The following is a 26,195-nucleotide window of genomic DNA, read 5'->3' as shown; positions in this document are numbered from 1 at the left end:
GTTAAATGCTTTTTCTGCATTTATGGAGATGATCATGTGATTTTTGTTTTTTAGCCTGTTAATATGATGGATTATATTAATTGACTTCCACATGTGAAACCAGCCTTGCATACCTGAGATAAACTGGACTTGGTCATGGTGTATAATTCTTTTTATATGTTCTGTTTTCAATTTGCTAATATTTCTGGTCACATTTTTTATTAATAGCTTGGTTGCATCCCTTCATGGCATGCTGATCAAATACTCAGTTAAAACTTTGAAAAATGGCATATATGTTGTATGATAGAATTGAAGTCTCATTTTTTTTCTACAGGCTGGATTTGGCATAGCAATATGGAATTTAATATGCATTATATAAAGATTTTTTGAGAATCAGTTTAATATGCATAGTTAATGACACACATTACCTGGGATTTTGATTCCAGCTCTGCTACTTAGAGGCTATGTTACCTTGAACAAGTTACTTAATCTCTTTATGTCTCAGTTTCTTCATCCATAAAATGGGGATTGTTGTAAAATATAAAAGAAGTAATAAACATAAGTCTCTTAATAGCTGGCACATAGTAAGGGACGATGAAATGTTATCTGTGATTATTATAAAATTCTGTACTTGGGTGCAAACAAACTCAATTTTTTAGGACTTGACTGATATGATTTAGGACAACTAAGAAAGACTAGATATCTTAGTCTTTTGTTGATTGTAAAGTCAAGGAAATGATAGTGTGACTTGAATAGGATAAAAGTTAATATAGGCCAGGCTGACAAGTCATTTATAATCTCTTGAAGCCAGAGGCAACACCTTAGCAAATAACTTAAAGGTTAGAAGAACAAGGTTTCTAGGCCAGGCGCAGTGGCTCACGCACTTTGGGTGTCCGAAGCGGGCAGATCAGCTGAGGTCAGGAGTTCGAGACCAGCCTGGCCAACATGGTGAAACATCATCGCTACTAAAAATGCAAAAATTAGCTGGGCATGGTGGTGGGCGCCTGTAATCCCAGCTATTCAGGAGGCTGAGGCAGGAGAATCGCTTGAATCCAGAAGGTGGAGGTTGCAGTGAGCTGAGATCATGTTGGACTCCAGCCTGGGCGACAAGAGAGAGACTCTGTCTCAAAAAAAAAAAAAAAAAAAAAGTTAATGTAACTTAAAGGGCTAAAAAAAAGTTTCCTAAAAAAGTATTTGGTTAGCAGTTCTGATGTTGCCTATGCCAATCTCCCACTATAATAATTAGAAGGAAAATAAACATTTAATATTTCTGAAATTGAGATGGGTGGAAAACCCTTTGCCAGAATCTAGGAGAAATATTCAATTACTTATGAAATAGAAGGATCTGGACAGAGAAAGAACCACCATTCCCAGATTTTGGCACAAGGTTCTCTGAAAGAAGGAAGGAAAATATTTTATGTCTTTCTTTCCTGTGGGCTATCCTTGGACCTGTAGACACAGGGTTGGCACCAGCTGGAAAATTGGGCAGCTAATTCTTCTTTGCCAGTGACTTTCAAGCCTAATAAAATATACAAAAGGAAGCTTTTGGCCAGGCGCAGTAGCTCACACCTGTAATCCCAGTGCTTTAAAAAGGCCAAGGTGGGAGGACTGCATGAGGCCAGGAGTTTGAGACCAACCTGGACAACATTGTAGAGAGAAAATTCTCTACGAACATTTTTAAAAAAAAATTAGCTGAGCGGCTGGGCGTGGTGGCTCACGCCTATAATCCCAGCACTTTGGGAGGCCAAGGTGGGCGGATCACCTAAGGTCAGGGGTTCGAGACCAGCCTGACCAACAATGGTGAAACCCCGTATCTACTAAAAATACAAAAATTAGCCTGGCGTGGTGGTGCATGCCTGTAATCCCAGCTACTAGGGAAGCTGAGGCTGGAGAATCGCTTGAACCCGGGAGGTGGAAGTTGAAGTGAGCCGAGATCACACTGTTGCACTCCAGCCTGGACAACAAGAGCAAAATTCCATTTCAAAAAAGAAAAAAAATTAGCTAAGCATGGTGGTGTGCATCTGTAGTTCTAGCTACTTGGGAGGCTGAGGTGGGAAGATCTGTTGAGCCCAAGGAGTTCGAGGTTACAGTGAGCTGTGATCCTGCACTGCATCCTAGGTGACAGAGTAAGACCCTGTCTTTAAAAAAAAAAAAAAAAAAAAGGAAGCTTTCCTTTCTCAGTGAGGCCTAACTCAAACATTCTGATACTGCAAATTATGTTTCTTCTTCCTGACCCTATTTCTAAACTCCTTTACCTTGTTCAAAATTTTTCTACAGCTTTAAGGTTTTATAACTAGCTATATAATTTACTTATGTTTATTGTTTGTCTCCCACACAACTAGAATGTAAGTCCCATGATGGATTTGTTCACTGAAGTATCCTAAGCACCAAGAACAGTGCCTGGCAAGCATAGACACTCAATAAATATTTGTGAGTTGAATGAACAAAATCTGAGGCTAAAGCCCAATATATTATACTAGTAAAAGCATAGCAGCTTTAACTGAAGACAGGGCAGGGACTTATAATTCTACCTACTGGGTCCTGCCCTTGCACCTTGTGGCATCACTACAGGGAGCACAGTTTGAAGCTACCTTACAAGTAATGATCTATGAGGTTGCTGAAATAGGGTTCACCCATTTCATTTTATCCCTTCTTTCTGTATTACCCAAAGACAGTGATTCCTAGGAAACAGCTGGGCCTGGGTGGGGTGTTGGTAGATGCTTGCAGTGGCTATGGAAAGGTTCATTTTTTATGGGAAATATACTTCCTAAATTGTAAAGCTCTATTCCAACGTCAGTGAGAGAGAGAATCCTGGTTACAATTTTTATGACATCAGTTGAGAATGTCATGCTAATGTTTTATGAAAAACAAAAAATCAATAAGGATAGGGATAAAACCCTAAAAGTATAAACAGAATCAGATGAACCTAACTGTATTTCACCTCCACTTAAAGATAAGTGAAATGGTATACTCTTAAACTCAAGGTGAACAGAAATATAAACAGTAATGAATATATAAACAGTGATGAATAATGAAATATAATGAAATGAATATAACATATTGAAGATATATAATACAATGAATATAATGAAATGAATATTGAAATATGAACAATAGTGAATCCTAGTTTCTAGGCTTTTCTTTTGTAGTGGTATGAATTAGCAATTTTGAAACTGTTTTTTGTCAGTTCTAGGACTGAACAAATGAGTAAGTGTATTGAGGATAATGGGAGTCAAGTTTTTTCATTGTTGGAGAAAGGAGTTTTATATATGGAAAAGAGAAAAGGCTGAAATAAACCCTGTGATGTTGGATTTGAATTGGAAGTTGTGGTTTTTAATATCTATTCATATCTATGCAATAATATTAATCTATATTTAAATATTAAATATCTGTATAAATATAAATACACATATATGTATATTTTCATATAGATATACATATATAGGCACATATATGTGTGTATGCGTATACACTGACATACACATTTATATATATATATATAAAAGGTTATATATATATATATAAAAGGTTATATATATATATATATATATATATATATATAAAAGAAATATATATATATTCCAACTTTGTTTGCTAAGAGGACCTAGAAGCAATTACTTCACCTCTTTTTTTTTGAGATGGAGTATTGCTCTGTCACCCAGGCTGGAGTGCAGTGGCATGATCTTGGGTCACTGCACCCTCCACCTCCCAAGTTCAAGTGATTCTCCTGCCTCAGCTTCCCAAGTAGTTGAGATTACAGGCTCCTGCCACCATGCCTGGCTAAATTTTGTATTTTTAGTGGAAACATGGTTTTTACCATGTTGGCCAGGCTGGTCTTCAGCTCCTGACCTCAAGTGATCCTCCCACGCCTGCCTTCCAAAGTCCTGGGATTACAGACGTGAGCCACTGAGCCTGGTCACTTCTCCTCTTTCTTAACCCATTTGTGCTGCTGTAACAGAATACCTGAGACTGGGTAATTTATAAAAACCAGAATTTTATTTTCTCACAGTTCTGGTGGCTGGAAAGTCCAAGATCAAGGTACTGGCAGGTCCAGTTGTCTGTTCCGGAGAAGAGGAACACAGTGTCTTCACATGGCCAAAAAGTGGAAAAGCAAGCTAGCTGAAGCTGCACGAAGCCTTAATCCCATTCAGGAGGGAGTAGCCCTCCTGGCCTAATCACTCCTTAAGTGCTCCACCTCTTAATACTGTAACATTGGTAACACTTGAATTTTGGGGGGGACCTATTCAAGTCATAACACCCTGTAACAATTAACACACATAACTAAGAACATATTTCAATATGGACTGTAGACATATAGTAAGTTTTTTTTTTTTGAGATGGAGTCTTGCTCTTTCTCCAGGCTGGAGTGCAGTGGCGCAATCTCGGCTCACTGCAAGCTCCACCTCCCGGGTTTAAGTGATTCCTCTGCCTCAGCCTCCTGAGTAGCTGGGATTGCAGGCATGCACCACCACGCCTGGCTAATTTTTTGTATTTTAGTAGAGAAGGGGTTTCACCATGTTGGCCAGGATGATCTCGATCTCCTGACCTTGTGATCCACCCACCTCGGGTCTCCCAAAGTGCTGAGATTACAGGCGTGAGCCACTGAGCCCGGCTGTTATATAGTAAATTTAACATTGGTACTGATTTGCTTAGCTATATTATGGTTATCTAAGCAAATATTCTTGTTCCTAGGAGAACATACAAAAATATTTAGGACTAAAATGGTATATAGTGTGTTTGCAGCTTACTCTCATATGGTTCAGAAAAAAATGTATGAGATGGACCTGATGCGGGCTCACGCCTGTAATCCCAGCACTTTGGGAGGCCGAGAATGGGAGTCCAGGAGTTCAAGATCAGCCTGGGCAACATAGTGAGACCCCATCTCAAGAAAAAATGAACGAGAAAGAGAATGATAAAGCAAATCAGATGAAATGTAAATAATTGATGATCTTTGCAAATTTTCTTTAAATTTGAAATTATATAAAGTTAAAAATTTACCTAACATTTTTTCATGTATCTTAGTTGTAATCCAATTTGACTTCATTTATAGAATTCACAGAAATGACAAAAAATTATTTAAAGAAAGTAAAGTAGCAAAGGAAATGCTGATCATGCAGAAAAATTTCAAATTGTTGGCATACAGAGAAGAACCTGATTTTTTTTTTTTTTCTTTTTGAGGCGGAGTTTCACTCTTGTTACCCAGGCCGGAGTGCAGTGGCACAATCTCGGCTCATCGCAACCTCCGCCTCCTGGGTTCAAGCAATTCTCCTGCCTCAGCCTCCTGAGTAGCTGGGATTACAGGCATGTGCCATCACGCCCGGCTAATTTTTGTATTTTTAGTAGAGACGGGGTTTCTCCATGTTGGTCAGGCTGGTCTCGAACTCCCGACCTTAGGTGCTCCACCCACCTCGGCCTCCCAAAGTGCTGGGATTACAAGCGTGAGCCACCACGCCTGGCGAGAAGAAACTGACTTTTTTGTTTGTTGTTCTGTCATTGCATAGTAACCTCAAGCACCTCATGTTCTATATTTATTTGCTTTAAATATTTTTAAAATAGGTAGTTCAAAGATTTCCTAAACATTTCTTATTTAGTAAGTTTTCTTAGGAAGGGGCACTTTGTAAAAATTAGATGGCCTTTGTTCTAGACAGTTGTACCCTTTTATATTGGTGTTAATCCATTAATCCTACTCATGTGGGCAGAGCCCTCATGGTCTAATTATCTCTTAATGGTCCCACCCCCCCCACTACCATTACAATAACAATTAGATTTCAACATGAGTTTTTGGAAGAGACAAACATTCAAATCATAGCAAACTGCAAGCACAAGAGTATGGATGAATTTCATAGACAATATTGAGTGAAAGAAACCAAACAACAAAAGGATAATATTGTATGATTCTTTTTAATAAAATTCAATATAAGCAAAACACATCATGATATTAGAAGTTAATTAAGATAGTGGTATCTTTGGTAGGGGAACAGGAAGTGACTGGAAGCAGGAACATAGAGGAGCTTCTAGGATGCTACTAATGTTCTGTTTTTGATCTGGATTCTAATTATATGTGTTTCTTTGTGAAAAGTAATTGAGCTCTACACTTTGTATGCTTCTTTCTACATATGTCATACCTTAATAAACTATTTTTAAAAGGATTTTTGTATCATATGTAAATCTGTTACTAAGGACACTTTTAAGTGTGTTTCTCATAAAATGCATTTGTTAAGTTCCTCTTTTGGAGGTGGGAAGAGATGTGGACAAAAAATTAGGCTTCCTTTTGTTAGTCAGCTGTATGTAACTCATTTCACATCCCTTTGTGTCTTACTGCCTTAATTCTTAGAGTTAATTTTTGTGTCCAGTTATACTTTTTCACTTTATGAAGTATTAATGAGTGAATGAGTGAATAGTCTTATTTTAAGTCTTTTTTAATTTGCCAAATTTCTTAGTGAAAAATTCTAAGTACAGTGTTTGAAGGTAAATGGCAATTGAAGATATGGCTATTATTGTCAAATTTCTTTTTGAAAATGTTCTAGGGCCAGGCGCGGTGGCTCACGCCTGTAATCCCAACACTTTGGGAGGCTGAGGCAGGTGGATCACGAGGTCAGGAGTTCGAGACCAGCCTGGCCAACATGGTGAAACCCTGTCTCTACTAAAAATACAAAAAATTAGCTGGGTGTGGTGGCGAGCACCTGTAATCCCAGCTACTCAGGAGGCCGAGGCAGGAGAATCACTTGAACCCAGGAGGCAAAGGTTGCAGTGAGCTGAGATCGTGCCATTGCACTCCAGCCTGGGCGACAGTGTGAGACACCGTCTCAAAAAAAAAAAAAAAGAAAATGTTCTATTAGGTTTATTTAGTACATTTTTATTAGCCACCTTCCATTTTAGTGACATCTGAGAGGCAATATATACCTCCATACTAACAGAAGGAAAACTTTTTAGTTTAAGTTGTTTTTATATTCAGAAGTTAGAGTTGTTGGAATTCCACTTTTCAAATGCTGCAGTTTCCATGAAGTCTTTTCTTGTTTCTTCTCTCAAGTCAGTGATCTCATCCCCCTCTTAAGAAATGTTGCAATTTGTGCCTCTCTTAAACCATTTGCTGTATTTTGTCATACAGGCTTTTAATATTCCTTTTCTTGATTATGAGAACCTAGAGCTTAGAGATTATGTCAGTAATTTTCTGTACTCCTCTTAATACTGAGTATTGTGACTATATTACACACAGTAGGTTCTCTATCAATAGTTTATCCCAATTGCTGTGTTTCTTTTCAATTTTTTTTTTGTTTTTTTTTGGAGACGGAGTCTTGCTCTTGTTGCCCAGGCTGGAGTGCAATGGCGCGATCTCGGCTCACTGTAACCTCCGCCTCCCAGGTTCAAGTGATTCTCCTGCCTCAGCCTCCCGAGTAGCTGGGATTGATTACAGTCACCTGTCACCATGCCTGGCTAATTTTTTGTATTTTTAGTAGAGACAAGGTTTCGCTGTGTTGGCCAGGCTGGTCTCAAAACTCCTGACCTCAGGCGATCCACTTGCCTCGGCCTCCCAAAGTGCTGGGATTAACAGGCGTGAGCCACTGTGCCCGGCCCGAATTGCTGTGTTTCTAACCTTGAATACCATTTCATAGTTTAATTTTGCTTGTGTAATTTTCTTTGTACATCAAATATTTAATATATAGCTGAATAGATACTCTGTGACCACTTTCCGTTTTTGAAAGCCAAATCCCAGTTCTGTAACTGTCATTCTACAATATTTACCCTCTTGCCAGCCACATATTTTCTTTGGGGACAGAAATAAATATGCAAAACAAATTCCAAGCCAACTTTTTTTTTTTTTTAAACACTTTGCAGAAACTACTGTTTGCTACAAGAAAATAAATGGAATTTTTTGTTTAAGTTCTTGTGAAAATGGAAATAAATATAGGACTGTGGGATTAAACATGGAGATTCTCTAGAGTGTTTTGAAGAAGTTTCCCTTATATTCCAGTGATCTCTGGGGTTCATTTTCCCTACAGCTTTGACAATATGTCTGTCTCTTTCTGTTTATTTCTCGTAAATATTCCTTCCTATCAGTACCACACGAATCCATCTTTTTTTTTTTTTTTTTTGAAACAGGGTCTCACTCTGTTGTCCAGGCTGGAGTGCAGTGGCGTGATCACAGCTCGCTGCAGCCTTGACCTCCCAGGCTCAACCTATCCTTCTGTCTCAGCCTCCGGAGTAGTTGGGACCACAGGTGCATGTCACCATACCTGGCTAATTTTTAAAGTTTTTTGTAGAGGCGAGGTTTCCCTATGTTGCTCAGCTTGGTCTTGAACCCCTGGGCTCAAGTGATTGTCCTGCCGAGGCCTCCCGAAGTGCTGGGATTACAGGCATGGCCCAAATTGATCCTTCTTGACACAGCTCTTCCTGTTTTGGGCCCCTTGAATGCTAATTACTGGTCTTACTAGGGATATGTGTAGAATGGGATTTGTGGGAGTTGCTCTCAATAAATAACAATATCCTATTTGTCTCTCTCTCTCTCTCTCTCTCTCTCTATATATATATATATATATGTATATATGTGTGTGTGTGTGTGTGTGTGTGTGTATATATATATATATATAGTATTTTATTTCAAAGATTGAATAATTTACCTGTAGATATTTGAGTTTTATATAGGGGAATTATTTGTCACGTATTAGAGAAAATTGTGGTTCTACATTAGTGTGTGGATCTTACAGTTACTGGAGTAACTTGGAGTGATCATCTTCAGTATATCATTATAATAAAGTCTTGTTTTATGGGGAAAATTGGGACCTCTTTATTTTGTGTGTGTTTTGTTTGGAGTTACTATTTCAGCGCAATGCAGCAATAATTATGTTACAACAATTTTGTGAGATGTTTATTATTCTCATTTTACAGATGAGGAAACTGAGGCTTGGTGAAGTTACGAAACTTGTCCAAAATCACACAACTTGTAAAGGGCACAGCCAAGATTCAGAGCCAGGTCTGTCCAACTTCAAAACTCTTAATCATAACCATGAATCTGAAATAGCTGTGAAGTATCAACCTGTGATAAGTTGTGTTAGTATTAATATTGCTTAACTGTTGTTTAACAATTACTGATAATATTTTTAATGCTGAGTGTTTTTGTCCTTTATAATAATTTCACATATCTTTTCAATATTGTGAAAAGCAGTATAAATGGTATTTAAGGGTCTAGTCTCTGGAGACAGACTACTTGGGTATGAATCCTTTAGCCTCTTCATTTACTTGTTGTGTGACATTGGGAAAGTTACTTAACTTTTCCATACATCAGTTTTCCTATCTGTAAAATTGTGATGGTAATATTATCCACCTGACAGGGTTATTGTAAAGATTGAATGATTTAATACATACAAAGCATTTACAACAATGCCTGGCACACAGTAAGCATTCAGTGAATGGCAGTGATTAGTATTATCATCTCCTAGCAACCAGTAAAGAAAATTATCATAATATCTAATTCTGTATTAGGAAATATGGATAAAGCAACGTTTAGGCAGCAATGTAGGGTATGACAAAACTTACATAAACCAAAATTAAACTTGAATAAGTTAGATCTAAAGAATATCATTCATTCTTTCAAATTCAGGTCTATTGTAAAGCAAATTGGGCAACTGCTTGTAGATCTCACATGTACAAGAGCCTTACATATATAAGGGCCATACATAGGACCACTAGAAGTACCCATTGAGCCTAACATGGTCATTGCATTATGAATGTGTTTTGTCTGCCTTCCCCTTCAGAATGCAATTTGTATTTAGAATAAATGTCCATATTTTCAGGTAGCTTTTAAGGAGATGGTGTTTTGGCAGCCTTGACAGAAAATTACCAAGAACCAAAACCTCATGTATTACATAAAATGTTGGCAGCGTTTTATCACTTGCAGGAGTGCTTATTAGAACTTTCACTATGGTGAATGTGCACACTGAATGACCTTTGAACCAGTGGGACCACAGCACATTCAACTAGAACTCAGCCATGAACTGATCATGTATTCTTTTCTCATACTTGTTTATTGTAGCTGTCAGAATCCTAAAGTGCTGATTAACTATTACTACAATTTCATTAAAGTAAGGTATCTATGATTATTTACTAATAGTAAGTTTATATCTGTTGCATAAATATCCATGAATGGGAGATAATTTGAGCAAAATTATACAAAAATTCAAAAGCTATTTAAAGAATGGGACCTGCCTTGTATGAACCCCAGAGCTCTGTAGCTTTATTTTTTTAATTTTTAATTTTTTTCTTATGGAGACAGAGTCTTGCTATGTTGCCCAGGCTGGTCTGAAACTCTTAGGCTCGAGCAGTCCTTCCACCTCAGCCTCCCAAAGTGCTGGTATTACTACCATGCCCAGCCTATAGCTTTTATTCTACACATACATTTAATTTATTTCCTTCTTTTATGGTATTGAGACTTACTGTCCTTGATCGTAGAATATCTTTTTGGTTATTTAGATATTTAAAATATTTTTCAGTAAATTCGCTTTCTCTTTTTTCCATAAAGAAAAATAAGATGGCCAGGCATGATGGCTCACGCCTGTAATCTTAGCACTTTGGGAGGCTGAGATGGGCAGATCACTTGAGGCCAGGAGTTCAAGACCAGCCTAGCCAACATGGTGAAGCCCCATCTCTACTAAAAAATACAAAAATTAGCTGTGTATAGTGGCACACGCCTGTAATCCCAGCTACTTAGCAGGCTGAGGCACGAGAATTGCTTGAACCTGGGAGGTGGAGGTTGCAGTGAACCGAGATCACGCCACTGCACTCCAGCCTGGGTGACACAGCGAGATTGTCTTAAAGAAAAAAGAAGAGACCTTATTTCTTGTTACTATTGTGAATGGTGTATTTTTCCTCTTTGTTTTCTTTGCATCTTCTGTTTTGTTTCTTTCCCATGCTTTATTTCTTTCTCTTGCCTTAACTATGTTATTTAGGACTTTCAGTACAGTATTCAGTGCAAGTGTTAATAGTAGGCATTCCTTTGCTTGAGCCCAGGAGTTTGAGATCAGCCTGGGCAACATAGCAAGACCCCATCTCTAAAATAAATAAATAAATAAAAACTAGGCAGGTGTGGAGGTACAACATACCTGTAGTCCCAGCTATTCAGGAGGCTGAAGTGGAAGGATTGCTTTAAGCCCAGGAGGTTGAGACTGCAGTGAGTCATGATCGTGCCACTGCACTGTAGCCTGGACAACAGAGCAAGACCCTGTCTAAAAAAAAATAGTGCGCATTCTTATGTTGCACTTAATTTTTTAAAGGAAGTACTTATTTTGTTTCACTATTATGACTAAGGTTTGCTATATATATATGTATGTGTATTTATTTTTATTATTTTTTTAAAATTTTTATTTATTTGAGACAGGGTCTTGCTCTGTCACCCAGGCTGGAGTGCAGTGGTGCAATCTCAGCCCACTGCAACCTCAGCTTCCCAGGTTCAAGTGATCTTCCCACCTCAACCTCCTGAGTAGCTGGGACTATAAGCGGGCATCACCATGCCTGGCTAATTTTTGTACTTTTAGTAGAGATGGGGTTTCACCATGTTGGCCAGGCTGGTCTCGAACTCCTGACCTCAGGTTATCCGCCTCAAGTTATCCGCCCACCTCAGCACGGTGGCACAGGCTTGAGCCACCATGCCTGGCCTGCTATATATTTTTGATAGAAACTTTTTCTAGGTTAAAAGCATTTCTCTTCCTAGTAGGCCAAGATATTTTTTGTGTGAAGAACGAGTATTGAATTTTATCAAACATGTTTTCTGCATTTACAAGATGATCACATAGTTTTCCTCCTTTATTCTGTTAATGTGGTGAATGACATTTATAATGTTGAATTGCTGAAATCCAACTCTGTCATGATGGACTTTTTAGAAAAAAATATACAGTTGGATTTAGTTTATTAATTTGTTTTGTTTTTAAGAGATGGGATCTTGTTCTGTCACCCAGTCCGGTGCAATGGTATGATCTTAGCTCACTGTAACCTCGAACTCCTGGGCTCAAGTTTTCATCGCACGTCAGCCTTCTGAGTAGCTGGTACTACAGGGGTGCACCATCATGGCTGTCTACTTTTAAAATTTTTAGTAGAGATGAGGTCTTGCTATGTTGCCCAAACTGGACTTGAACTCCTGGGCTTAAGCAGTCCTTCCACCTCAGCCTCCCAAAGTGTTGGGATTACAAGCATGAGCCACTGCACCTGGACTGTTAACGATTTTTGCATCTATGTTCATTCACAGGTGAAATTGGCCCATAATTTTAATTTCTTGTCCTTAGTTGGTTTTGGTATCCAGGTTATGCCAGCCTCAAATAATGAGTTAGAAACTATTTTTTTCCCCCTGAAAAGATTTATTTAAGACTAGAATGATCTTTTTAAGAAAGTTTTGTTGAACTTCTGTTCAACTGTCTGGGCATGGTATTTTTCGGGGTGATGGGTTTAATATTTTGCCGGGCAGGTATGCAGTATTCTAAATGGTTTCATTTAGGATTGTGTTTCTAGTTAGGTCAGTTTTTAGAGAGTGTCTTTTTGTAGGAATTGAACCATTTTGTCTGAGCTTTTTTTTTTCTTCTTTTTCTTTTTGAGACAAGGTCTCTGTTGTCCAGGCTGGAGTGCAGTGGTATGATCTGGCTCACTGCAACCTCCACCTCCCAGGCTCAAGTGATTCTCCTGTATCGGTCTCCTGAGTAGCTGGGACTACAGGCACATACCAATGTGCCTGACTAATTTTTTGTATTTTTCATAGAGATGGGATTTTGCCATGTAGGCCAGGCTGGTCTCAAACTTCTGACCTCAGGTGATCCACCGGCCTCAGCCTCCCAAAGTGTTGGGATTACAGGCATGAGCCACTGCACCCGGCTTTATTTATTTTAAATTTTTCTTTTTTTAATAGAGACAGGGTCTCACTATGTTGCCCAGGCTGGTATTGAACTCCTAGACTCAAACGATCCTCCTGCCTCAGCCTCCCAAAGTACTGGGATTACAGGCATGAGCCACTGCACCCAGCCCATGATCACTCTTTCCAGTGGCCTTTTCTCCACTTTTTGATAACAAGTTTTAATGAGTAACCAATATGCTATGTCATTGAGACTTGCTGAGGTTCTTGGAAGGCTGATTTTCTATTTATAATAGAGTGATAGGCCAGGTGCAGTAGCTCACACCTGTAATCCCAGCACTTTGGGAGGCCGAGGCATGTGGGTCACTTGACCCAAGGAGTTCAAAACCAGCTTGGGTAACGTGTGGCAAAACCCCGTCTCTACAAAAAATAGCTGGGCATGGTGGTGCGCACCTGTAGTCCTAGCTACTTGGGAGGCTGAAGTGGGAGGATCACCTAGTCTGGGAGGTCACAACTGAAGTGAGCCATGATCACACCACTGTACTCCAGCCTGGGTGACAAGAGTGAGATGCTATCTCAAAGGAACAAAATTAGATGATAATTTTCTTTTTCTTTCACCTTCTGTTTCTCCTCCTCCCCCTTTTCCTCCTCTTTTCCCTCTTTCTCTCACACTTTAACATCTCTGGAACTGGGAATCGTCTCCCATTGGGATACATCTTACTATTGTGATATTTCACAGTAAATGAACAATTCTTAAACAATTTTGGTAGCATTTTTTTTTTGAGACAAGGTATCACTCTGTCACCTAGGCTGGAGTGCAGTGGTAAGATAATGGCTCACTGTAGCCTCTTCCTCCTTGGCTAAAGTGACCCTCCCACCCCAGCCCCCCAAGTAGCTGGGACCACAGGCACACAGCACCATGCCTGGCTAGTTTTTGTATTTTTTGTAAAGATGGGATTTTGCCATGTTGTCCAGGCTGGTCTCGAATTCATGGGCTCAAGCAATCCACCCACCTCGGCTTCCCAAAGTGTGGGGATTACAGGTGTGAGCCAGCGCACCTGGCCTCCATTTTTTCTTTTTCAGTGGAACATAAAATAGTGGTACATCTTATCATCAGTAGTATATTCGTTTTGAGGAAATACATATATTTACATACATAGCATGACTTTTCATCCTACCTCATTCCCTGTTTGAAATGCCCCTTTTCTGTCTCTTTCATTGTGTTCTTATATCATTCAAGACCTTGAGGTCTTGATAAAGTTATTTTAAAATAAAAAAATTTCCATCCTGGCTCTTCTAGTACCTAGCACAATACTTTGTTGGATACAGAATATTATTTAATTAACAATTGATGGGAGCTAAATGATAAGAACTTATGAACACAAGGAAACAACAGACACAGGGGTCTACTTGAGTGGGGAGGGTGGGAGGAGGGAGAGGAGCAGAAAAGATAACTACTGGGTACTGGGCTTAATACCTGGGTGTTGAAATAATATGTGCAACAAACCCCCATGACACGTGTTTACCTATGTAACCTTCACATGTACCCCCAAACTGAAAATAAAAGTTAAAAAAAAAAAGAAATTCTGAAACATCAAAAAAATCAAAGGAAGAATCTATGTATAATCATAGCACAGGCTTTGACATATTTATATTAGTGAACAATTAGCTTCTTGGTCAAAGGAGGAGAATACTTAACATTTACATTAGTTAAGATTATTTTGGATAGAAAGGACAGAAGCCAATGCTTTCTACCTTTAGCAAGTTAGATAACTTATTGAATGGATGCTGAAGCATCTGATGATCAAGGAAGAGCTGAAGCAATGAAACAAAGTAATTAGAAACTATAGGCCATGTGCAGTGGTTCACACCTATAATCCCAGCACTTTTGGAAGCTGAGGCAGGCATGTCGCTTGAGCTCAGGAGTTCAAAACCAGCCTCGGTAACATGGCAAAACCCCATCTCTACAAAAAAACACAACAATTAGCTGGGTGTGGTGACATGCACCTATAGTTCCAGCTACTCGGGAGGCTGAGATGCGAGGATCGCTTGAGCCCGGGAGGTTGAGGCTGCAGTGAGTGAGATTATGCTGCTGCACTCCAGCCTGGGTGACAGAGTGATACCCTGTCTCCAAATAAAATAAAATAAGATAAAAGATAAGATAGACCCTGTCTCCAAATAAAATAAAATAAAATAAATTGTGAAGGAAATGAAAAGAGTAGTATAATAAAGAATTATAGAGGATGGTATTTAGAAAGTAGAAAAAGACGTCAACTTTTAGGTTGAGAGTGAAGAATGAGTGGGAGACCAATGTACTGTTGAAGGGTCTGGGAGAAGAGTATTTCAGAGAGAAGGAAACAACAGGCCTAGAGTGAGAATGAGCTTGCAGTTAACTGAAAGGATCATAAAGAGTTAGTTGGGAAAAATGCCACCTCAAGGCAAGAGAGACATGCAGGGGCCATACCTTTTTTGTTTTGTTTTGAGATGGAGTCTCACTTTGTCACCCAGGATGGAGTGCAATGGTGTGATCTCAGCTCACTACAACCTCTGCCTCCCGGGTTCAAGTGATACTCCTGCCTCAGCCTCCCGAGTAGCTGGGCTACAAGGTGCCCGCCACCACACTTCGCTAATTTTTTTGTATTTTTAGTAGAGACAGGGTTTCACCCTGTTGGCCAGGCAGGTCTCGAACTCCTGACCCCAGGTGATCCACCTGCCTCGGCCTCCCAAATTGTTGGGATTACAGGCATGAGCCACCGTGCCCAGCCGGGGCCATACCTTTATATGCTAACATGTACTGTGTATTTGTGATGTTCTGATACTATTGTAAGCACCACTTCTTGAGCAGTGTGAATTATTATGCCATACTGACTCACTGAATAGTGAGAGTTTGGATTTTATTTGAAGATACATTGGAAAGCCATGGAACTATTAAGCAATGCCATGATCCATTTTACATTTTTAAAGATTACGGTGGCTAATCTGTACATAGTTGATGAGAGAGGGACAACAGAGGACATAGAAATAAATACTAGTGGCTTATGCTAGTCCAGGTAAGAGGCAAAGTTATCTTGGACTATGGGTGGTGGAGATTAAGTGCAGTGGATAGTTTTGAGATATATTTTAGAAGTCTTTTGTTGATGGCTTGGATAAGGGGAGAGTCGGGGGTGAGGGAAAAAGAGAGGAGCAAGACAAGAGAGGACTAAAGAATTGAAGAGATAATGTGTAAATATTTTGCCAAGTTATTTGTCAGTAAAGGGAAGCAGAGCTGTTTTTAACAGCTTATTTCTTATTTCTGTAATTTTTTCAGTGGCATTTTTTCTCTCTCCTACCCCATTGCCTCCACCACCTCCCCATTCTTGGAATCAAATATATTTTTATTCTAATCTCTCTCTCCAGATTCCAACACCTTTTTCTCATCCCACACTTGACAGATGCAGGAGGAAAGCTAGTGTAAAAAGTAGGCTAGCATCCTCAGCAATTCTGCCCTTTTTCATCAAGATGTTCCTTGCTAAATCAATCCTTGCTATATCAAAGCAAAATTATTTTGTTTTATAAATAAAGGTTTAATTCTTAAAGTAATACTATTCTAATGAAGTCAGTCTGTATATATGTGTATTGTGGAGTTTGGGGTGATGGCTATATGTATTTTTATCTCTAAAGTCTTAACATGCTTTATTGTTATTATTATTACTGTTTTGAGGCAGATTCTCTGCTGCCCAGGCTGGAGTGCAGTGGCACAATCTCAGCTCACTGCAGCCTCTGCCTCCTGGGTTCAAGTGATTCTCGTGCCTCAGCTTCCTGAGTAGGTAGAATTACAGGCTAGTGATAATTATTCATTAAGAAATAGTAAGCAAGATATCATAATTATGTGTTTTCGTTTTTCCAAATTCATTTTTTAAAAAAGAAAGTGACAAGATACTTAGACCCTAAACTGGCTGACACTTTCAGTCTTTTCTCTTACTGGGCAACAGAATGGTACAACAATAAATAGCTGCCCAAAGAGCAAATAAACTTGTACTAGATCTATTTAGACAGAGGTTGGATGTCCTCTTTTAATGGAAGTTGTCAGTGGTTCCTTTGTCAGTGGGAGGTTGGACTATTACACTGTCAGTCTCTTCCAGCATCGATGGTTCTTTGGTCTTGTATGTTGAGACTTTTCCTACCTAGTGACATAGCCTCTACTGTGGTGGGCGTCTGTTTTATCTTTCAATTCTTCAAATTTATAGTATGCTATATATGACAGGCAGTGTGTTATGATGCAAGGGTATATTTAAACAAATAAGATACAGTCAACCATTAAGGAAATAGGAAATTACTATAAGGTTGATGCATACAATAATAGAAGTAAGAAGAAGGTATTAATCCGAATTATATGAAGTGGAAGGACCTAACCAAGCCAGGTAGGGGCTTGTCAAAAAAAAAAAAAAAAAAAAAAAGTCTAGCTTTCCTGAAGAGGTTAACTCCTGAGCTGACTCTTTAAAGATGAGTAGACTTTAACCAGACATGCACAGGTAACGATATTTCTTTCTAGGCAGAGGGAGGAACATATACAGAGGCTCTGAAAGAGGGCATGCTTTGTTTGGAGAACTGTAAGTAGTTTAGGGTAGCTGGAGGTTAGCATGTGAATGGGGACTGGTGAGAGAAGCCAGAGGAAGAAGGACTGTGTTTACCATGCATTTGAACTTTGTCTTGAAGGTGGTGTGAAGCAATTGAAGGGTTTTCAACAGAGTGGATACATGGTCAGATTTGTGTTTTAGAACATATTGGGATGGAGCTCTGTTAAAGGTAAAGAGACTAAAATACTTGAGTATCACTTATACTTGAGTATTTTGGTCTCTTTGCCTCTATGGAGCTCCATCCCAATATGTCTCTAAATTGTTTAAAGCAATAATTTAAAGAAAAATGTCTCAGGATAGTAGGACTGGAATAGTTGGGGAGAGGGATGAATTCAAGAGCTACTAAGGAGGTAAAATCAGTCCGGGTAAAATCAGGCCAGAGAAAGGCTGAGTGCAGGGATGATTTTCAGGTGTCTGGCTTGGCCGAGTAGGTAGGTGAGTAGTTGTCTTTGCTAAGACGAAGAAATGAAGAAGAAAGGAATCATAACAGGGTTTTTTTAGTTTGTTTTTTTTGGTGGGTTTTTTTTTTTTTGGGGGGGGCCTCAGGATAATTTGGAGCATGCCAACTTGAGTAAGGATATAGGTTTTTCATTTTCTTATACTTGTATTTGTGTCTGTTTTTGTTTTTTATGTTCCTTTATTTATTTACTTAATTTCTTTTTGAGACAGTCTCGCTCTGTTGCCCAGGCTGGAGTGCAGTGGCACAATCTCGGCTTACTGCAACCTCCGCCTCCCGGGTTCAAGCGATTCTTCTGCCTCAGCCTCCTGAGTAGCTGGGATTACAGGTGCGTGCCACCACGCCCAACTAATTTTTGTATTTTTTGTAGAGACGGGGTTTTACCATGTTGGCCAGGCTGGTCTCAAATTCAAATTCCTGACCTCGTGATTCACCTGCCTCGGCCTCCGAAAGTGCTGGGATTACACACGTGAGCCACTGTGCCCAGCCCATGTATGTTTTTAAAATGTGATATAAAAGAATATAACAGTATTTCCTTTCTTTCTTTCTTTCTTTTTTTTTTTTTGACAGAGTTTCTCTCTTTTGCCTAGGCTGGAGTGAAGTGGCGCGATCTTGGCTCACTGCAGCCTCTGCCCCCCAGGTTCAAGTGATTCTCCTGCCTCAGCCTCCCGAGTAGCTGGGATCACAGGTGCATGCCACCATGCCTGGCTAATTTTTGTATTTTTAGTAGAGACGGGGTTTCGCTATGTTAGCCAGGCTGGTCTCCAACTCCTGACCTCAAGTGATCCACCTGCCTCGGCCTCCCAAAGTGCTGGGATTACAGGGGTGAGCCGCCACACCCGGCCAACACTTTTTAGTTACAGAGTTGATAATGAAACTTGTACCTTTGTCATTTTTTTTATGTTACTATAATGATTATCGATATGGAAAGGCATTCTGATGTCATACTGCTTGCAAGAAATTCTTCTGGCCAGGTATGGTGGCTCACGCCTGTAATTCCAGCACTTAGAGAGGCCAAGGCGGGAGGATTGCTTTCACTCAGGAGTTTCAGACCAGCCTGATCAACATAGTGAGACCTTGTCTCTACTTAAAAGAAAAAAGAAAAAAGCCAGGTGTGGTGGCACATGTCTCTGTAGTCCCAGCTACTTGGGAGACTGAGATGGGAGGATTGCTTGAGCCAGGGAGATAAAGGTTGCAATGAGCTGTGATCACGCCACTACACTCCAGCCTTAGTGACAGAGTGAGACTGTCTGAAAAAAAATGTTTTTTCTCTAGATTTAGTCCTAGTAGCACATTTTTTTTCTTTAAGTGTGCTTATTTATTTACTTATTTTTGAGACACAGTCTCACTCTGTCGCCCAGGCTGTGTGATCTTGGCTCACTGCAACCTCCACCTCTTGAGTTCAAGTGATTCTTCTGCCTCAGCCTCCTGAGTAGCTGGGATTACAGGTGTGCACCACCACACCTGGCTAATTTTTGTAGTTTTAGTAGAGGCGGGGTTTTGCCATGTTGGCCAGGCTGGTCTTCAGCTCCTGACCTCAAGTGATCTGCCCATCTCAGCCTCCCAAAGTGTTGGGATTACAGGCATGAGCCATTGCACCTGGCTTTAAGTGTGTTTAAAGAAAACTTTATTTTATTCTTCATGACATCTTTTATAAGAACATGATTGTAATCCCTGCTTTGCTTAGTGTTTTCTAATAATGAGCCAAAAAGATTCCTAAATTTTAGTGTTTCAGAATGATTTTTTTCTTAATAACTATAAAAGTTTTTAGAAACTGTTAGCAGTCTATAATTTGGTCTACATGTACAAATTTCCATTTTCAGGGGTTGGAATGAATTTGAGAGGTAGATGGGTAGGCAGAATTTCTCATTGCTTTGTTATAACTAAAGTTCTTGAAATTTCTTAGGATAATATGTCTTTAAATCCTACTAGAAGTTATTGTTCTTACAAGGACTAGTATTGTAGTTGTCTTTTCAAAAAGTAAAATGATTTGTTTGTTTGAACTTAGTGTTACTCTAAGAGGAAATGTTCTATTCATTTTCCCTTTACACTGTGCTTACATGATAATTATATATTGCTTAAATAAAACCCAAAACCTTTAATTTTGGACATCAGATTTTTGGTTAGTATGGTAATCCAAAGTTTAAATATGTAAGAAGGTAATATTTCTTTTAAATATTTTTTTTCCTCTGTCTTCAGGCTGTAAAAATTAAAATGAACAAATTACGGCAAAGTTTTAGGAGAAAGAAGGATGTTTATGTTCCAGAGGCCAGTCGTCCACATCAGTGGCAGACAGATGAAGAAGGCGTTCGCACCGGAAAATGTAGCTTCCCGGTTAAGGTAAGAGCTGATGTTTCTATAAGTCTGTATGTGGAAAAGAACTGACAATCTAGTGTATGTGAAATCTCATTAATAAGGACAATTAAGAGAGTCTTCCAAAAAACAAATCCCTTCACATTCTGCTTCAATGATAGAATTAAAAGAGAAAGAAAGGAAAATAATGAGAAAGAAAACAGATAGATTTTAATTAGGGAGTTTTCTTTTTATATTTAAATATGAATTTCTCTATATAATGTGGAGTCAGTACAAATATTCTGATAAGAATACTAATCCTGAAATACCTAAAGACCCTAAATTATCAGGACTCAAATTTTCAGTGGAATATGCTTACTAACTGGTGAAGCTGAGGGAGTGGAAGTCAGCTCTCTTAAATACAAGTCTTGTTTATTTTAGAAATCCTTAAATGAGAAGAGTTAAATCAAAGGGAGTTTTCCTTAATGGTACAGAGGTCATTTAAACTAATGCCTTCATTTGTAAGATCAGAAAGTGGAAACTCACAGAGGTTAAGAACATAGTGAAGATCCTGAGAAGGCAGTGATGTACAGGTGCTTTTCTTTGTATTGCCTGAGACAGGTCATATTTTAGTGAAATGAAAGAAATATGTATGTTATTTACTATTTAGTAAAAAGAAGCAATATATTATGTAATCACAGTGTGAGATGTATTAAATGTGGGGGCAAAAAAATAGAACTAGACCAAATACCAAATGTTAATATCTTAAAGGAAAAATTGTAGTTTGATATAAAATGTTAATTTTTTTCTCTATTTACTATTTACTATATATTCCTTTTTTTTTTTGAGGCACAGTCTGTCTCCATAGCACAGGCTGGAGTGCAGTGGCATGATCTCAACTCACTGCAATCTCCACCTCCTGGGTTCAAGCGATTCTCTTGCCTGTGCCTCCTGAGTAGCAGGGACTACAGGCGTGCCCCACCATGCCCGGCTAATTTTTGTATTTTTAGTAGAGATGGGGTTTTTCACCATGTTGGCCAGGCTGGCCTTGAACTCCTGACTTCAGGCGATCCTCCCGCCTCAGCCCCCAAAGTGCTGGGATTACAGGCCTGAGCCACTGCACCCAGCCTATTTCCTATATATTCTTTTTTTTTTTTTTTTTTGAGATGGAGTCTTGCTGTGTCGCCCAGGCTGGAGTGCAGTGGCACCATCTCGGCTCACTGCAACCTCCGTCTCCTAGGTTCAAGCGATTCTCCTGTCTCAGCCTCCCAAGTATCTGGGACTACAGGCATGCACCACCACGCCCAGCTAATTTTTTTGTATTTTTAGTAGAGACAGGGTTTCACCACATTGACCAGGCTGGTCTTGAACTCCTGACCTCAAGTGATCTGCCTGCTTCAGCTTCCCAAAGTGCTGGGGTTACAGACATGATCCACCACACTCGGCCTATGTATTCTTATAAGTGTAAATATTCTTATGATTTTCTTCCTCCTTTTTACTGCCTCAGTACCACTGATTGAAATATGGGCTAAAGCTTCTGAAGGGAAAAAAAAAATCTTCCATATGACAGGAAAAGTGATTCTTAAATATACAGGTTAGAGAAATACATGGCTTTTTAAATACACTAATTTTTCCACAGTCTTTTAATAACTAGGAGTTTTCCTAATCACTTAGCTTTGTTTACTTAACTCATTTGCTGAAACTTTGTAGAAATAATATTTTAATTTTAAATGTTTAATATGACATTAAATCATGAGAAAAATCCTACTTCTCTTACATAAAAATGAACACTTTTTTTTTCTGTTATCTCCCCCACCATACAGTTGGCTTACTTTGGCTATATAAGTTGAGTATTACGTATGTAGAAGGAGGCACATTGGTTGCTTGGAGTATAAATTACAACCTCTTAGGGAGGCAGTTTGGAAATATCTATTAAGATTTTATTCATTTATTTATTTTTTTATTTTGAGATGGAGTCTCGCTCTGTTGCAAAGGCTGGAGTGACGAGATCTCGGCTCACTGCAACCTCCGCCTCCTGTGTTCAAACGATTCTCCTGCCTCAGCCTCCCGAGTAGCTGGGATTACAGGCCTGAGCCACCATGCCTGGCCTGTATTAAGATTTTAAATGCACTTTTCATTTGACCAGCAATTTTACATTTAAGAATTGCATTTAAGTACGTTTATAGATAATATTGGCATAAGTGGTCATCCTAAGATTTGTAATATCAAAAATTTGGAAACAACTTAAATTCCCATCATTCTGGAATTGGTTAAAGAAACTGTGACAGGCCAGGCACAGTGGCTGACACCTGTAATCCCAGCACTTTGGGATGCCGAGGCGGGCGGATCACCTGAGGTCGGGAGTTCAAGACCACCCTGACCAACATGGAGAAATCCCTTCTTTACTAAAAACACAAAAAAATTAGCTGGGCATGGTAGTGCTTGCCTGTAATCCCAGCTACTCAGGAAGCTAAGGCAGGAGAATTGCTTGAACCTGGGAGGTGGAGGTGGCAGTGAGCCCAGATCACACCATTGCACTCCAGCCCGGGCAACAAGAGTGAGACTCTGTCTCAAAAAAAAAAAAAAAAAAAAAAAAAAAAACAAGAAAAACTGTGGCATCCATTAAGTTGAATTCTTTGCAGTTTATTTTTTTAAAGTAAGGTAGATCTGTATTATGTATTTAATAAATATTTTTTGAACATCTGTCATATGCCAGGTATATGCTAGGTGGTAAGCAAAAAAGACATAGTTTCTGTTCTTGTGGATTTTACAGTCTTCTTGTGAGGGAAACAGACTTTAGTTAGATATTTGCATTAACAATATACTATTACAGGGCAGGCACGGTGGCTCATGCCTGTAATCCCAGCACTTTGGGAGGCCAGGGCGGGCAGATCACGAGGTCAGGAGATTGAGACCATCCTGGCTAACACGGTGAAACCCCGTCTCTACTAAAAATACAAAAAAAAAAAAAATTAGCTGGACGTGGTGGCGGGCGCCTGTAATCCCAGCTACTCGGGAGGCTGAGGCAGGAGAATCGCGTGAACCAGGGAGGCGAAGCTTGAAGTGAGCCGAGATTGTGCCACTGCACTCCAGCCTGGGCGACAGAGAGAGACTCTGTCTCAAAAAAAAAAAAAAAAAAAAAACATATATATATATATATATATATATATATATATATATATATATATATATATATGTGTGTGTGTGTGTGTGTATGTGTGTGTGTGTGTGTGTGTGTGTATATATATATTATTACAACCCAAGGTAAATACTTTTAAGAAAAGAAATCTGGTTCTGTAAGAACATGTAAGAAAAAAACTTGATCCTAGACTATAGGATCAGAGTAAGGCTTCTCTGCGAAAGTAAAGCTTGACCTGATATTTGAAGATTGAGTGGGAATGAATTACATGAAAAGGTGAATAGAGCATTAGAAAATTATGGAAAGCATGTATATGTAGGCACTGGGTGACAAGAGGAAAGAATGGTAAAGGAAAACTGTAATGCAGAAAGTTGTTTGAGATGACCCTGTAGGAAAGCAGGGCAGGGCTTTGTATCCATACTAAGGATTTTGTACGTGGGAAGCCATTAAATCGTGTGTTCTTTTCATTATTTATTAAGGTAGAGTACATATAACATAAAATTAATCCTATTAAGCATTTTATTTTATTTTATTTTATTTTTATTTTATTTTATTTTTTGAGACAGAGTCTTGCTCTGTCACCCAGGCTGGAGTGCAGTGGCGCCATCTCGGCTCACTGCAAGCTCCACCTCCCAGGTTCAAGCCATTCTCCTGCCTCAGCCTCCCGAGTAGCTGGGTCTACAGGCGCCTGCCACCACACCTGGCTAATTTTTTGTATTTTTAGTAGAGACGGGGTTTCACCATGTTAGCCAGGATGGTCTCGATCTCCTGACCTCGTGATCCACCCATCTCAGCCTCCCAAAGTGCTGGGATTACAGGCGTGAGCCACCGCGCCTGGCCCCTTGTAAGCATTTTTAAGTGTACAGTTCAACGGTATTAAGTATACTCATATTGGTGTGCAGTTATCACCACCAGTCATCTCCAGAACTTTTTCATCTTCCCAAACTCTGTAAATAGTTTTTTTTAAGCAAGAATGTGGTATTAGAAAAGCATTTTTTGTGTTAAGTATCTTACTTATTTAATTTAATTAATTAATTTATTTATTTATGAGACAGAGTCTTGCTCTGTTGCCAGGCTGGAGTGCAGTGGCGCGATCTCAGCTCACTGCAACCCCCGCTCACTGCAACCTCCGCCTCTAGGGTTCAAATGATGCTCCTGCCTTAGCCTCCCGAGTAGCTAGGACTATAGGCACGTGCCCCCATGCCCAGCTAATTTTTGTATTTTTAGTAGAGACAGGGTTTCACCATGTTGGCCAGGATTGTCTCGATCTCTTGACCTTGTGATCCGCCCGCCTCAGTCTCCCAAAGTCCTGGGATTGCAGGCATGAGCCACCGTGCCCGGCCATCTTATTTATTTTAAAAATGTATGTATTTATAGATTTAGGAGGTATAAGTGCAGATTCCTTACACGCATGTATCACATAGTGGTGAAGTCTGGGCTTTTAGTGTACCTGTCACCCAAATAGTGGACATTGTATTCAACTGGTAATTTTTCAATCCTCAGCCAACTCCAACCCAGAAAAGCACTTTGAAAAAATGACTTTGGCTGCAGTGTAGTTTGGAAGTAGCCCATGCTAGATACAAGGAGCCTAGCAAAATATTATCACAGTAATTCAAAGGATAGATAATGGTAGGTTAGACTAGGGTGGTGACTGTGAAGATGAAGAGAAATGAAATAAATTGATCGATAATTAAGAGGTAAAGTTAGGCTGTGCATGGTGGCTCACACCTGTAATCTCAACACTTTGGGAGGCCAAGGTGGGAGGGTTACTTGAGCCCAAGAGTTCGAGACCAGCCTGGGCAACATGGTGAGACCCCATCTCTACAAAAAAAAAAAAAAGCTAGATGTGGTAGTACACACCTGTCATCTGAGCTACACAGGAGGCTGAGGTGGGAAGGTCACTTGAGCCCAGTGAGCCATGATTGCACCACTGCACTCCAGCCTAGGGAACAGAGCGAGACCCTGTCTCAAAAAAAAAAGAAAAAAAAGTAGGTAAAGGTAATAGAAATTGGAGATGAACTGAATCTAAGGAATGAAAAAGAGTAGTATTAAAAATGACACAGGCTGGGCACAGTGGCTCATGCCTGTAATCCCAGCACTTTGGGAGGCTGAGGCAGGTGGATCATTTGAGGTAAGGAGTTCGAGACCAGCCTGGGCAACATGGTGAAACCCCATCTCTAATAAAAATACAAAAACTAGCCAGGCATGGTGTACATGCCTGTAACCCCAGCTACTCGGGAGGCTGAGGCAGGAGAATTGCTTGAACCCGGGAGGCAGAGGTTGCAGTGAGCTGAGATCACGCCACTGCACCCCAGCCTGGGTGATAGACCGAGACTCCATCTCAAAAAAAAAAAAAAAAAAGACACCTAGTTTCATATTGCCCTGAGCAGAGATGATGATCATTGACATAGGAAACACTGACTTCAGTGTGTGTGTGTGTGTGTGTGTGTGTGTGTATGTATGTATGTATGTATATATGTATGTATGTATGTGAGACAGAGCCTCACTCTCGCCCAGGCTGGAGTGCAGTGGTGCAACCACGCCTCACTGCTTCTGGGTTCAAGTGATTCTTGTGCCTCAACCTCTCAAGTAGCTGGGATTACAGGCACCTGCCACCATGCCCAGCTAGTTTTTTTTGTTTTTTGTTTTTTTTCTTGAGACGGAGTCTTGCTCTGTCCCCCAGGCTGGAGTGCAGTGGCGCGATCTTGGCTCACTGCAAGCTCTGCCTCCCGGGTTCACGCGATTCTCCTGCCTCAGCCTCCCAAGTAGCTGGGACTACAGGCACCTGCCACCACGCCTGGCTAATTTTTTGTATTTATAGTAGAGACGGGGTTTCACCGTGTTAGCCAGGATGGTCTTGATCTCCTGGCCTCGTGATCCACC

At 39.8% G+C, this 26,195-nt stretch overlaps 1 protein-coding gene across 5 annotated transcripts in view; it reads left to right on the top strand.

Moving 5' to 3' along the window:
- NUMB (NUMB endocytic adaptor protein) overlaps window positions 1–26,195 on the top strand; it is a 183,331-nt gene that overhangs the window by 82,700 nt on the left and 74,436 nt on the right. For 4 of the 5 annotated variants that reach the window (NM_001005745.2, NM_003744.6, NM_001005744.2 and 1 more), the window contains exons 3-4: window positions 8,866–8,950; window positions 20,081–20,221. In NM_001005745.2, the coding sequence (NP_001005745.1) occupies window positions 20,096–20,221 (126 nt within the window). In that variant the 5' untranslated portion in view covers window positions 8,866–8,950; window positions 20,081–20,095. The remainder of the gene's footprint in view (window positions 1–8,865; window positions 8,951–20,080; window positions 20,222–26,195) is intronic. The other variant, NM_001320114.2, reaches the window with a different exon arrangement.

The sequence above is a fragment of the Homo sapiens genome, chromosome 14 (genome assembly GCF_000001405.40).
Source record: "Homo sapiens chromosome 14, GRCh38.p14 Primary Assembly".
NCBI classification, from domain to species: domain Eukaryota; kingdom Metazoa; phylum Chordata; class Mammalia; order Primates; family Hominidae; genus Homo; species Homo sapiens.
Note: the sequence above shows the minus strand (reverse complement) of the source record. Positions and strands in the feature narration are given on the sequence as shown.